General features: G+C 46.9%; 1 long non-coding RNA gene across 3 annotated transcripts in view, besides 2 other annotated features; it reads right to left on the bottom strand.

Annotated features, from left to right (window-relative positions):
• Positions 1-7664, bottom strand: part of LOC124900954 (uncharacterized) — a 65808-nt gene extending 58144 nt beyond the window's left edge. For all 3 annotated transcript variants that reach the window (XR_007058719.1, XR_007058720.1, XR_007058721.1), the window contains exon 1: positions 7472-7664. This is a non-coding gene — a long non-coding RNA (uncharacterized LOC124900954). The remainder of the gene's footprint in view (positions 1-7471) is intronic.
• Positions 1563-2063: an enhancer, noted in NCBI's record as "H3K4me1 hESC enhancer chr5:32511632-32512132 (GRCh37/hg19 assembly coordinates)". NCBI's record gives its function as "activates a minimal SCP1, AML or CMV promoter by ChIP-STARR-seq in primed H9 embryonic stem cells {active_cell/tissue: H9 hESC(primed)}" and the evidence as "EXISTENCE:reporter gene assay evidence [ECO:0000049][PMID:30033119]".
• Positions 11680-12326: an enhancer, noted in NCBI's record as "NANOG-H3K4me1 hESC enhancer chr5:32501369-32502015 (GRCh37/hg19 assembly coordinates)". NCBI's record gives its function as "activates a minimal SCP1, AML or CMV promoter by ChIP-STARR-seq in naive H9 embryonic stem cells {active_cell/tissue: H9 hESC(naive)}" and the evidence as "EXISTENCE:reporter gene assay evidence [ECO:0000049][PMID:30033119]".

Below are 14809 nucleotides of genomic sequence, written 5' to 3'. Positions count from 1 at the left end.
TCCCAGGCCTTATATGTGTGCTATATTCAATGTAGACCAGCCTTGTGTCTTGTGGGTTGGTGAGATGGTCAAGATCCCTACCGGACGGACTCAATATATCCCTGAGGCAGCATGGTAAAAGTATATATTTCTACTAGGTGAAAGCTAACTATTTCTGGAATACCCTTTATCAGAATGGGTAAGAAAATACACTTGCTAGATCAGTTGCTGGTGCCAGGGCCTGTGTTAATATGCTCCAAACGGGAGACTATGTCTTGGCCTGTCACTGTGGGAGGAGTTATCAACTAATTAGGCTTCCTTAATCCACTGTGGTTTCCAGAATCCATCTATCCTCATACGGGCCATTCTGAGGAACTTAGCTGCTGTTTCAAAATCTTTAACTATGGGGCTAATCTTTGTGATTCCCCTGGAGGTGTGGTATTGGTTTTGATTTATTATTCTGGTAGGGAGAAGAAACTTCAGTGGTTCCCACTTGGCTCTTCCAACCACAGTCATTCTTACTGTGTGTGTCAGAGAGCCACTATGGGGACCTACCAGTCCAACTCTGTGCTGTATTCAGGATCTGGAGAAATAATTACGGGGCTTTTTATAAATAGACCCAGGTTAAAATCCTACTTACCACCTGATGACCATTAGACCCACTGCAATCAGGAACTACAATACATTTATGTATCTCATGTAAGTTCAGAGCCAATATTCGCTACTCCCTGAAAGGTTTATGTCTCTCTCTTGCCCCCGTACACAGCTATCCAGGTAAATAGTTCCTTTGAGCAAGAAGGAAGTTTCAAGTATGTAACTGAGGTGTTACATGGGTCCTTCCTTGTAGGCATTTGGTGTCCTTTCCATTCTGTGCATCTGGTTCTGTTACCAATCTCAGGCCTATGAATTGGAAGATAAGCTATGTCTACTACGGTGGTTCAAATCAGGCCTCTATTCACCAAACCAAAGCTTTGTTTGGTTTGGGTTAGTTATTCACGTCACAGAAAACCTGCACAGGTCATCTGATGATCTCATTACCACGGATGCCATAGCAGAGATCTTGGAGGATCAGACCCTTGTCAAATATTTTTCCCAAGCCTGCCCTAGAGCCTAATGTAACCGTGCCCATGTTGCCTCCAGTCGTTAAATAATTGGCATCACTTGTACTCTGCCACAGTTCACTCCCAGATACCTGCTGATAATAGAAAACAAGTTTCAACTTTGGCATTTTTCTACCAACAATTCTAGCCTGCAGACTTCTGATATGTTTCTGATAAGCTGGCCCCTATTTAGGGGGCTAGGAGTGGCCGAGGGACCTCCTCCAAACTGCCTGGCCGCTGGAAACAATGAGGCCACTGTGGGCGGAGAAGAGTGCAGCAGGCTGCTGGCTCAGCCAAGTCCACGATGGTGAGAGCTCGCCCAAAGTCTGCCCTCCTGCTCTGTTCTCTCCCCAGGAATTGTGAGAAGCAGGGACATCCTCCCAGGCCCCTCATCTCACCTGCCGGCCCAAACCAGCTGCACCTAGAGTGTCCTCAAGCTCTGCCCACATTGACGTCCAGACTGCCATGACTCTCTAAGAAGCAGGGGCATGTGGGCCAGGCCAGAAAGAGTGGGGGTGATGAGACAGGACGTATGCCTATGATCCTCTGCAGGGGAGACAGGAAGGCCACAGGGGATTTCTGGTGTCAGTCCTGGCACCCACAGGCAAGAAGAGCTTAGGAGATTGTGAGAGCTGTGACAGGCAGGATCCCCTGCCCCCAGGCTTCCTTTCCCACACCCATTCCATAAAGCTGCTCCCTGAGGAGGCCTGGTGCTGGTGGCCTCGCCCTCTGGGGTTGGGACCCTGGCAGGCAGTGTGGTGCAACGGTGTGAGAACTGAATTTGTAGTCAGGCGAACAGTGTCAATTACACCCTGCCCCTTCTGAACTATGGGATCTTGTCCTTTGTCCCTCTGAGCCCCAGTTTCCTCATCTGCAAAATGAAGATAATTTTATATAGTGACATAAGAGTAATGAAACAGAACACCTAAGACACGCCAGCCCTCAACAAACCACCTCTGGCCCAAATGCCCCATCTTTATCTCCTGCCATGGCACCCACATATGTCGGTATTTGGTAAAGATGGGCTCTTCAATTTCAAAGCCCAGTGAGGGAAGAGTCTTCCAAGCTCTGTGAAGGAGATGCAGTCAGCGGGTAAGTGGGCAAGAAATGCATGTCAGATATTGATGGACATTAAGATATTGATTGATTGATATTCGGCCCTCATATCCCCCTTCCCATATCCTTCTGTGTATTTTTTGGAGCCATTAGAATATTATATTTCCCAAACTCCTTCACCAGCTGGGTACTGGATAGATAGGTTCTGCCATTGAAGGGAGATAGAAGGTAGGAAGAAGATGACCCCTAGCCTTCTCTGGCTCTGACAGAAGCAGCCAATTGCAGACAAAAAATGCCAATTGCTGTAGCAGAATGCCAGTTCCAATCGTGGCAGCAGTGACAGCTCCTACTCAGGCCACTTGTCATCTGGAGCAGCTTAGCAGTGAGTGTGAACCCACAGGTGTCAGCCCCAAGTGGTGGCAGGTCCCTTATCTCTAGATAAACCCATGTCTCCATTTTGCAACTCCAGCCCTTACAAAACCTTTGTAACCAGTCCCCTGCATTCAATCCCTTTCTGCTTGAAATATCTAGAATGGTTTATGTTTTTTGGACTGGACTCCTGATTGACACAGCAGGCTTGAAAAAGCCAATCCAGAACTGTCTCCTAACGTTTTAGAATTCTTCTGTTTACATCAGTTGTTCCCAACTCAGTCTGCCTATTAGAATCACCTAGAAGCTTAAAAAACACTGATGCCAGCCTGGCACAGTGGCTCACACCTATAATCCCAATACTTTGGGAGGCCAAAGTTGGAGGATTGCTTGAGTTCAGGAGTTGGAGACCAGCCTGGGCAACATGGCAACATGGCAAGACCCTGTCTCTACTAAAAAGACAAAAAAAAATAGCTGGCATTGTGGTGTGCACCTGTGGTCCCAGCCACTCAGGAGGCTAGGGTGTGAGGATCACTTGAGCACAGGGGGCCAGAGGATGCAGTGAGCCAGGATCACACCACTGCACTCCAGTCTGGGCAACAGAGTGAGACCCTGTCTCACTCACACACACACACACACACACACACACACACACACCCCCAAACTACAAAAACAAAACAAACCCAAAAAACACCACACTGATGCCTATATGCCCTATACTTTCAGAGATTCTGACTAAATTGCTCAGACACCAGTGTTTTTTAAACTCACCCGGGAGATTTTGATGTGCAGCCAGTTTGAGATCCACTGCTCCCTTTTTAAACATTTTCTCTGAGACAGGGTCTTGCTCTGTCACCAGGCTGGAGTGCAGTGGTGCAATCACAGCTCACTGCAATCTCCCCTTCCTGGGCTCAAGCAATTCTCCTGCCTCAGCCTCCCGAGTAGCTGGGATTACAAGCACGTGCCACCATGACCAGCTAATTTTTGTAGAGACGGGGTTCCACCATATTGCCCAGGCTGGTCTCAAATTCCTGGCCTCAAGTGATCTGCCTGCCCTGGCCTCCCAAAGTGCTGGGATTACAGGCATGAGCCACTACGCACAGCCTGAGATCCACTGCTCTCTGTCATGCCAAGCTATTTCTGGCCTTTCCCTATTATCGCGAGTGGACCAGCAGTGGATCCATGGCTACATCAGCCAACTGCAGCAAACTTAGAACAATTATTAAGGTATTATCAACGTAATGAGATTTCAGGTGATTTAATTTTCTTTCTTATACCTTTCTAACTTGTTTTAATGAACATTGTTTTAAATTATTTTGAAGGCAATTTTCACAAACAGAAATGATCTTCCTGTCTTCTCTAATGCATAACTATACCCACATCACTAAATCTAGCACAAGCTAAAATTATATTCCACGAGCCTTGTTTATACATCCTCGAAATTCATTCTTAGAAACATCATCAGGGCTTTTGAAAATGTAAATAAGCAACAGGTTACAGATATGTAGCAATAGTGTTCTCATTGTTGTGGTTGTGTTCTGGGTGAATGGAACCCCTGGGCTGCCCACTCCCAGCTCTAAGCAATCTCATATTTAACCCAGCATGCTGCACAAATGATCATTTTCTATTATCATATCCTTGGTCATTTCACATCCTGCTCAATCCCACCCTGCTCCACCCCAGGCCATGTTGTATTTGGATTTAGGTTAGTGGCATAGCAAAATGAGAAGCAGGTCATGAAGCAATTCCTACTCCAAGGGAAGGACTGCCTCCTTAGGCAGAGGAGAGGCAACCCAACCCTTGTTGGGCAAGAGTTCTTCTTGGGCAACCCTCTTGAAACTCAACCACCTTCCGAGTTTCAGAAGTCTTTGAGGATTGGGATTTGCTGTTGTTGTTAACCCAACTGAGAACCGTGATTTTGGTTTCCAATTTAATCTACTCCAATGCTTCCCTGCTTTTTTCATATCATGGCTCAGTCTAACCCATACTACCTCTAGATCACCATACCAAGCTGTGTACTCATAGCCAGAGACACCAAACTGTCATGCCTTCGGGCTGCTGTTCATGCCATTTCCTCTGGATGATATATTCTTAAGGTTAGGTAAGCCCTGGAAACATACGGGTATTTATTATACACCACACACTTTGCTAGATTCCAGCACTACATTACTCCCCAACCCGTGCCATCAGCTCTCAGTAGCCTGGCCCAATGTCATCTCCCTCACAAAGTTGTTTTTTTTTTTTTTTTGAGACAAAGTCTTGCTCTGTCGCTTAGGCTGGAGCGCAGTGGTGTGATCTCGGCTCACTGCAACCTCCTCCTCCCCGGTTCAAGCGATTCTCCTGCCTCAGCCTCCCAAGTAGCTGGGATTACAAGCGTGCATCACCACGCACAGCTAATTTTTGTATTTTAGTAGAGATGGGGTTTCACCATGTCGGCCAGGCTGGTCTCAAGTTTCTGACCTCAAATGGTCTGCCCGTCTCGGCCTCCCAAAGTGCTGGGATTACAGGCATGAGCCACCATGCCAGGCCCTCCCAGCCCTCCTTCACAAATTTTTCCTGGACTTCGCCACAGAAAAAATTAATGGTTTTCTCAATCTCCATTCCAACACAGTTATTTACACATGAAATAAACCCTTGACATTCATAAATTTAAAATTCCTCATTCAGGCAATTCAAAAGTTAGTCTACAAAGTGAGTCTATGGGGTGTCATCATTTGTCATTTTGCCAAAGCACAAACGGGAATAGTTCTCACTGAAGAGCTGGAGAAGAGTGAGTCTACTTCCTCTTGGAAGCCTTTCCTGATACTCCATCCTACTCAGCCTCAGACTGATAGCCCTCTGAATCAGTTGGGATACTTCCAGCTCTGATGGAAAACGGGAATAACAACATTTAATTTCTCCACAACAAAGAGTCGGAGGTGGGTGGTTCCAGGGTTTGCTCAGCTCCTCAACAATGTCAGGGGTCTGGATCAGGATTTTTGCAAGCCTCTTGGCCAAGTGCACATCATCACATGATATCAGTAGCTCTAAACAGCAGCTCCCCACATAACCTCATTTCAGGTGATAGAGACAGAAGACAGCCAAGAGTCCCAAGTGAAACCCTGCCTTCAAGCCTAAAACAGCCTGAAGGCTGAAAAACCGGTCTGCTGGTCGCAAATGAAGCCTGCTCTTTCCCAGCTGATTCTGAATAATGCCTGCTTGTGCACTGGGAGGATCGGGTGGAGCCTTGGGAAGTTCACACCATTTGCAGGGGGGAAGAGTCTGGCCTCTTCAGTGCCTGTGTGGTAACCCGGGATTCAGTCTGTGAGGGGGGAGGTTGTTGGCAAGACCCCCTCTCACTTTGCTGAGAGTTTTTCTTTCTTTTTCCTTTTTGCCCAATAAATTCCATTTTCCTCACCCTTCTATGTGTCCACAAGCCTAATCTTTCTTAGTTGTGTGACAAGAACCCAGTTTTAGCTGAACTAAGGATAAAGTTCTGGAACCCAGGATGGGATGAAAAGATAGGCCTCCTTTCCATCTTACATTTTACCAAGAAGCAAACAGTTGTCCTAAAACTTCATTGACTTTTCCTTTCATTTAATCAGCCAGAATTTGGTCATGTGCCTAACCCTAAACCAAATACTAGAAGGGGTAAACCAGATGATTGTGCTTGATTGTGATTAGTGATCTTCAGGCCAGCAGCAACAGCGTCACTTGGGAACTTGTTAGAAATGCAAATTCTTGGGCACGCAGGGTGGCTTACACATGTAATCCCAGCAGGGTGGGAGGCCGAGGCAGGTGGATCATTTGAGTCCAGGAGTTCAAGACCAGCCCTGGCCAACATGGTGAAACCCCATCTCTACTAAAAATGCAAAAATTAGCTGGGCATGGTGATGCATGCCTGTAGTCCCAGCTACTTGAGAGGCTGAGGCAAGAGAACTGCTTGAACCCAGGAGGCAGAGGTTGCAGTGAGCCAAGATCACAGAGTGAGATTCTGTCTCAACAAAAAAAAATGCAAATTCTTAGGCTTCACTTAGACCTACTGAATCAGAAACTCTGGGAGTGGGGCCCAGGATTCCTGGTTTTAACAAGCCCTCCATGTGACTCATGCAAGCCAAAATTTGGAATCACTGGCTTAGATGTATCATAGTTAATCCTGAGCCTGGGGGAGGGACCTGAGCATCCTGCCTTTTAGAATAAAATCCAGATTCTACAAACTAAGAAGAGAGTTATGCTGTTGGGTAGATGGCACTCTCCTATTATTTCCGTTTAAATTATCATGATTACATTTATTTACCAGTTGATTTTCTTGCTGACTCCCTGACTCAACTGCATGCTTCCTGAGGGCACGAACTTTGTCTTTTATTAGCATTTCTGTCCCTAACACAATAGAAGGCGGTCAATCAATGTATGCTGGACAAATGGATAAATGGTAAAGTGGTCTCTCCTTTCTAAGTGCCCACCTCCTTAACAGCTGCTTCCTGCTGCTTTCCACTTAAAGAACATTTTCACATCAGTTCATGTCAGTGAGCTGAGAGCTGTCTCTACCAGGGGGTCTGAGAACAATGATTCCTTTGCATATGGGCACAAGTGGAGACTCTGGCTTCCTGAATGCATGTTGGACCTTTATGTGCATTCATTTCTATTCAAGGGTGTCCTTGGAGAGCACTGCTGTACAATAACACAGAACTGAACACGATTGTTGAGCTGAGTTCTGGCTGCTGACTCCTGCCTGGCAATCTTTCTCAGAGGCAGCTGTGTACTCAGAGTCAAACATGACCTGGAAATAAGCCTCCAGGCTTCATCCACAGCAAGAGCAGCATCGAGGCAATGATAGATAGCTGCCCTCATTTTGTTCTGCCCAGCACAGTGACCTGGACAAGCCTCCCGGGCTTTCTGAAGGCACTTGTATTAGGTGTGAGGGACAGAAACCCAAATGCAAAGTGGTGAGAATAAAGAGGTGGGGGAAGACTTACAGCCACATATACCTGCAAAGTCCTAGGGTAGGATCAGTTTCAGCTGCAGCTGGATCCAGATGCTCAATGTCCTCAGGAAACTTCTTTCTTCATTGCTCAAATGCATCTCTTCTAATTGGCTTCATTCTCCAGTAAGTTTTCACAGAACAAGCCAGGAACAGCTCCAGACTTGCATACCATCCACTTGGCATTCGCAGCAGAAAGCCCCTCTTTCACAACAGTGTCAGCAAAAGTCCTGGAGCTGACTCTCCTCATCCTAACTTAAGTCACATGAACATTCCAGGGCAATCAATGGCTTAGGCTGGCGTAAGTGCCCAGCTTGGAGCAGGGGCATTGGGCAGGATGGAATCAGTCTCACCTGAACCACAGGGACTTACAGTGAAAAAGATGCACCCCCAGCCCTTCCCCGCCACCAAATCATAGTGCTGTTACCAGAGGAGGGGGGAATGGCTGCAGAAGAGGCAAAACCCACAGATGCCCCATCTGCCACTGTTCCTTCTTTTGAGTCCTTGAGTAGCACTTCATTAAAAAAGGCACCCACATGCATGCAGAGCTAGGTATCATTTTCCAAAACAGGGAAGGAAATAAAGCACCTCCTAAAGACAAATAGTGCAGACTCTCTTTCTCACTGGCTTGAAATAGCTCCCAGCGCTACAGAGCAGGGCTGAGGGACGGCACCAGCAGCCTCACTCTCGGTGTAATTTAATCCTCCAGAGCATCTGCCCTGAACATTCAGCTCCACGAACACCCACTCCCCCGCCCTCTGCTGTGGTCCACCCCCTCCCTCCCATGGTTTCTTGGCCTGCTTTACTGTCTTTTTGTAATCATCAGCTAACATCTGCTACATTTTATTTGTGGCAGGAAGGATTTTTTTTTCTCCTTTACCCTTCCTCCTCCTGGGGTTGAATGCGAAATAGACTAGAATAACAAAATGAGGCAGACAGGCTTCTTAACATAATAACCTAAAAATGTGTGAAGCTGGGAAGTGTCCAATGTTTGGATCCCTCCCTCCGCGGCTCCCTGAGAGCAGGCCCTCTTTTTCCAGCACTCTCCTGGCTCAAAGCCCTGGATCTATCCAGGAGAGAATGGGATGAAGCTGAGGGACAGACAATTTAAATTGAGGAAAAGGGCAAGGGGTTAAGAGAAGGCAGAGCCCCGTAAGAGGTAGAGATCAGGAATCCAAGGGGGAGAGACGGGGAAGGCAAGATGTTTCTTTGCTGTCTTTCACGGGGCCTGCGTATTTTCCATCTGCAAGTAGAAGATGATGCCAGCTGTATAAGGAGATACAGTCTTTAAATCAATGACCAAATCAAGGATGTAGTCCCTTCCTCCCCGTAGCTTTTACCAGCAGTTTGCAAAATAATAAAATAGCTAAAAGGTGGATAGCAAAGGAAGAAGAAGCAATCTGGCTCAAACAGTTCTAAACTGAGGTTTTCCACACCAGAGAGGAAAACCAAGAGGGAAGCTGGTAAAATGGGGCAGAGATTGATACTGGTGGGCTAGGGAAGGTCTCTAAATGTCAGTGGGACCTTAACCCCAGCCGGTGTCCAGGCTCCTGATGCCATCGTGAGAATGAATTCAACGACAAGTCAGAAAATTGTGAAAGTACAGAGATTTATTGCAAAGGGAAAGTACACACACCAGAAAAAAAGAGTGCATGCATACTCAAGAGAGTGCTGTGATGGGATTTAGCATTTCTGTCTTTATGGATTTCTTAACCAAAGAGTGGAATATTCATGAAGATTCCTGGAAAAAGGTGATCATTTCTCAGAATTGTCATGCTACCCATTTTTACACCAAATACAGGTGTTCCCGGAACTGTCATGGCACTGGTGGGAGTGTGTTGAGTATGCTAATGAGTGCATAATGAGGTCCTAGGAGGCACCTAGGTCAGATCCAGCACCATGTTGGATCCAGTCTATTTTTTTTTTTTTTTTTGAGACAGAGTCTCACTCTGTCACCCAGGCTGGATTGCAGTGGCATGATCTCGGCTCACTGCAACCTCTGCCTGCCGGGTTCAAGCGATTCTCCTGCCTCAGCCTCCCGAGTAGCTGAAACTACAAGCATGCACCACCATGCCCTGCCAGTTTTTGTATTTTTAGTAGAGACGGGCTTTCACCATGTTGGCCAGGCTGGTCTTGAGCTCTTGACCTCGTGATCCACCGGCCTCAGCCTCTCAAAGCGCTGGGACCACAGGCGTGAGCCACCGTGCCCGGCCAGATCCAGCCTATCTTAGCCAGCATGGCCCACAACGTGGTTTTTCTTTTTCTTTCTTTTTTTTTTTTTTGAGACAAAGTCTCACTCTATTGTCCAAGCTGGAGTGCAGTGGCGCGATCTTGGCTCACTGCAACCTCCACCTCCCGGGTTCAAGCAATTCTCCTGCCTCAGCCTCCGGAGTAGCTGGGAATACAGGCATGCACCACCATGCCCAGCTAATTTTTGTATTTTAGTAGAGACGGGGTTTCACTATGTTGGCCAGGCTGGTCTTGAACTCCTAACCTCGTGATCCATCCACCTCGGCCTCCCAAAGCGCTGGGATTACAGGCGTGAGCCAGCACGCCCGGCCCACACCATGGTTTTGCAAAGTCTTTTCAGCCCATAGCCTTTAGTCCTGTGAAACTGCTGTCTGGAATTTTTATCCTCCTGTGACTATCCTGTATTATTCCTGTCTCAGGACCACCCACAAATCTCCAGCTGCTTTGTGGACTCTCTCACGGACATCCTTTCAGACTCAGTGTCTGTACTCCATCAGCAAATCCATGTGTGCCATGGATCAGACAACTACTTCTCTCCCATCACAGGGGGAAACCTATGGGATTATATATTTAGTTATTTTAAAAGCATTTGACTAGTAAATTGCAAAGCACAATGTACCATAAAAAGGATATTTTGCTGATTTCTAAATTCTCTATTAAATGTATTTCTCAAGTGAATGTACTTCTTCTCCTCTATTGAACCTGTAAAACTCCCCTACCTGTGAATACTACGAGTCCTTTTCAAGGAACTCACTCTGTCTTCTCATCAGTTAAGTGGAAGCTGACTTCTCTATTTCTTGGTTTCTTCCAATGGAACCCTTCTTTTCTTCCTACAGACCCCAAGACTCATTTGGTTTTCTTCTCCCTTGGCCCCTGTCACTGCTTCTACTTTCTCTGTCTTTTGTGTCTGTATTGATCAGGATTATTAGTGGCAGAGAAGAACCCTCTCTAACTAATTTAAACACAAAGAGATTAATTAAAGGGGATTAGGTGACCTAATGCTTTTTTTTTTTTTTTTTTTTTTGAGACGGAGTATCGCTCTGTTGCCCAGGCTGGAGTACAGTGGCATAATCTTGACTCACTGCACAGGCTGGAGTACAGTGGCATAATCTTGACTCACTGCAACCTCTGCCTCCTGGGTTCAAGCAATTCATCTGCATCCGCCTCCTCAATAGCTGGGATTACAGGTGTGTGCCACCACACCCGGCTAATTTTTGTATTTTTAGTAGAAACGGGTTTCACCATGTTGGCCAGGCTGGTCTCGAACTCCTGACCTCAAGTGATCTGCCTGCCTCTGCCTCCCAAAGTGCTGGCATTACAGATGTGAGCCACCACGCCCAGCCTGCTAATGCATTTCTGAGAGGACTAGGGGACCAGCTTTGAACTAGGGAACCACCCTGGTAGGTTCTTCTAACAAGAACCTCACTATTGCCACCACGTGCCTCTTAGCATCTCTGACCAGGATTCTCTTTATAATCCCAGCGCATGGTAGTCACATTGTAGACATCTTACAATTTCCAGCAGATGGAGTCTTATTCTAATATACTGGTATACTAATGATTGATGTATTAGAACGGAAGGGAGGTATCAACAGGTAAGGGACTTCAGAGGCCTGAGAGTGGAAGAAGTCGCTGCCTTTAAAATACAAGGAGTGCATGTATTTTACAGATGGAATTGAGGTGCTTCAGGCAAAATTAGGTGTCTTTTTCTAATTAATACAAAGATGCTGTACAGGTTAACCATAACCATACCCATGAAATCAGATATGAAACAATAGAAACTTCACCACACCTGTTTCAGAAAAAAACAAAAACCTCCCCTAGGGGTGCTTTTCAGAAGATGCAACCTTCGAGCCCTCAGCCAGGGTCACACCCTCAGCCAGGGTCTCACACTTCTACCTTGAAGTCTCACCCAGTGGGTGTTCTGGTGGAGTAGCGGTCTCCTGAGGAAGCCTAACTGCAAAGGAGTCTAGTACTCATAGGTTTCTGCTGTCCAGCCCCTGCATATGGGAATTCATGGAATGACGTTCTGCAAACCAATCTGCAGTCACAATCTCAGATTTGCAGTGGAGCAAGCACATCATGTCTCCCTGCTCCCTGCTTTTCGCAGCCTCTGAAAAACACCACTCAGCCTCTGATCTTTAAAAGATCCTGCTGATCCCTGTGGCGTAAATCTGAGAAGCTATGCAGGAGAGAGAAATTCTGGAATCAGCAAAAATGTCCCTTTTTACAATGCGTTATGCTTTGCAACTTACTATTGAATGTTGTATTCTGTTTACAAAGCTGCTGAAAATCTCAAAAAGTTCTCTCTGGATATGTTTCTTTAGTATATTGAAATGCAAACGAGCTCCGTTTCAACTAGGTAATCTGGGCACACACATGAATAATTACCACTCCCACCACCTGATGCCTCATTAAAATGACCGTAAAGGAGGAGAACGCAAAGGAGGTGTCAACAGCTAAGGGTTTCAGAGGCCTGAGAGTGGAGGGTGTCCCCACCTTTAAAATACAGGATGTGCCCGACCCAGGGAAGAAAGTGGGCAGCCCCTCAGAGAGTCTACGTCAAGCGGCCAAGCCGTCCCCAAATAGCAGCTGCTGGGTCCGCTGATTTGCCCCACTTTCCCAGATAGATGTCATTTACTACTCAGAGCACAGCAGGCAGCATGACCCCAATGTTCGCATCAGTTCTGCTGGCCCCCAAGCCTCATGGGGCAATACCAGTGCTGGCCAGGTGAATACTGCCCCTGAGGAACACTGAGTTCATGAAACCCCCAGTTTTCCAAGGGAACCGCTAGCACACCTGCCCCAACTTTGCCCCAGCGGAAGGCACTATCTTTTTTTTTTTTTTTTTTTTTTTTTTGAGCCAGAGTCTTGCTCTGTCGCCCAGGCTGGAGTGCAGTAGGAAGATCTCGGCTCACTGCAAGCTCCGCCTCCCGGGTTCACGCCATTCTCCTGCCTTAACCTCCCCAGTAGCTGGGACTACAGGCTCTCACCACCGCCTGGCTAATTTTTGTATTTTTAGTACAGATGGGGTTTCACCATGTTGGCCAGGTTGGTCTCAAGCTGCTGAACTCAGGTGATCCACCTGCCTCTGCCTCCCAAAGTGTTGGGATTACAGGCGTGAGCCACCGTGCCCAGGGGACACTATCTTTATCACAGTGATAGGGCTCTAAAGAGTGGAGGAACACCAGAGTTCTTGGTCCTCATGTCGGTTTAGATGAAACTACATGGACACACGTGGAGTGGTTTTAAGGAGTGGAGAGTTTAATAGGCAAGAAGGAAGGGAGACGACAGAAGGAAAGAAGCTCCCGCATACAGAGACAGGGGGAGGGGGGCTCCAAAGCCAAAAGAGGAGGTCTCTACCTGCCACGGATACCAGCCAGGTATATGTGCAGTGGCTGGAGGAGGCGGTGTTTGATTTGCATAGGGCTCAGGGGATTGGTTTGACTAGGCATGTCATTCACCTAGCCCGAGAAAAAGCTGGCCCTCCCACCCTAGCCTTTTAATATGCAAATATAGGGCACCAAGGTGTTCTATACACGTGGGGATATGTTGGGGAGGCCGTGTTGCCAGAAACATGTCGAAAAAGGGTAAGAAGGCCAAGGGAATCTCCATGCTTGGGTGGACCCAGTTTCTAATGGCTTGCATTTGCATATCAAAGGTTGCTGGCCTGGCTCTAACAGCCAGGGCTTTACTAGAAACTTTTCCAGAGATGCTTTAAAAAATGAAAACTTCCCAAGGACCCCTTTTCCTACAACAACAGTAGTCAGGAAACAAAACTGAACTCTGACCCGAAGGGAGACATATCTCTAGCTTCCAAAGAGGTCTGCTAAGCAAACAATCTTTAAAAGATTATCTGGCCAAAAGCTGCCATAAAACATGTCCAATACCAGGAGAAAGGCCTCCCAAAATTCTGTAGGTATGAGAGGCAGTTGGTGAAGTGAGGTGGAAAAAAAGAGTTCAGTGAAAGATCTGTGGGCCGGGCACAGTGGCTCACGCCTGTAATCCCAACACTTAAGGAGGCTGAGGCAGGTAGATCACTTGAGGTTTCAGGAGTTGGAAACCAGCCTGACCAACAAGGTGAAACCTCATCTCTGCTAAGAAAATACAAAAATTAGCTGGGCATTGTGGCAGGTGCCTGTAATCCCAGCTTCTCAGGAGGCTGAGGCAGAAGAATTGCTTGAACCTAGAATGTTGCAATGAGCCGAGATGGTGCCACTACCCTCCAGCTGAGTGACAGAGCAAGACTCTGTCTCAAAAAAAAAAAAAAGAAAGAAAGAAAGAAAAAGAAAGAAAGGTCTGTGTCAGAGGGACAAATGTCTAGAGAGCCACTGCTCCAATCCTGCGTGGGTGGATGGGGAGTCATAAGCTGGTACCTTTCCACCCTCTCAAGCTCCAAGACCAATGTAGGGGGATTCCACCCCATGAGTTCCAGGTTACAGCTTCCTTTTCTGGGGTTTATTGAAGTCACAGGGTGTTATGAAGTGTGGGTTAACCTTATAGGAAAAGTAATATAGGGGTTGAGCAAAGGTTTGGAGATGGACGGGAGTCACCAGATTGCACTGACATTGAAGGAGATGCTGGCTACTATTAAAGAGATCATTCTCAAGGGATGTCAGTGGGAAGCAGAGCCAGCTGAGCCCCTGGGGGCAGATAAGGACCAGTGAAGACCACTGATCTGCAGATAATGACTCAGCTCCCACCCAGTTCCTGGGTTCTTGAACAAAACCCTTTAAGGAAAAGCCCCTTATTCCTGTCCAGGTGGCCTCTTCAGGTCAGGCCCTCTCTCAGAGAAACCCCCAAACCTCGATCCCCACTCCCATCCTCCCCTGGAGATGTTCGCCTTTTAGAATCCAGCTCTACAGGCAAAGCATGGTGGAGTCAACTGTGGATACAGAACAGAATGTAAAGTTTATCAGCCTGACGAGGTGAAAGTGAAATGACAGATGTCGGAAATTGGGAAGTAAAAGATGGACAGTTGTGTTGAAGGGAAAGGCAAGCTTTTTTTTTGCTTTCAATAAAGGGAGAAGAAGATACTCCTTGAAATCACTAGAACAAGAGAGATTCCAGTCCATTACTTAATGTTAGAAACCAGT

Source organism: Homo sapiens, chromosome 5, assembly GCF_000001405.40.
Source record: "Homo sapiens chromosome 5, GRCh38.p14 Primary Assembly".
Classification (NCBI taxonomy): domain Eukaryota; kingdom Metazoa; phylum Chordata; class Mammalia; order Primates; family Hominidae; genus Homo; species Homo sapiens.
Note: the sequence above shows the minus strand (reverse complement) of the source record. Positions and strands in the feature narration are given on the sequence as shown.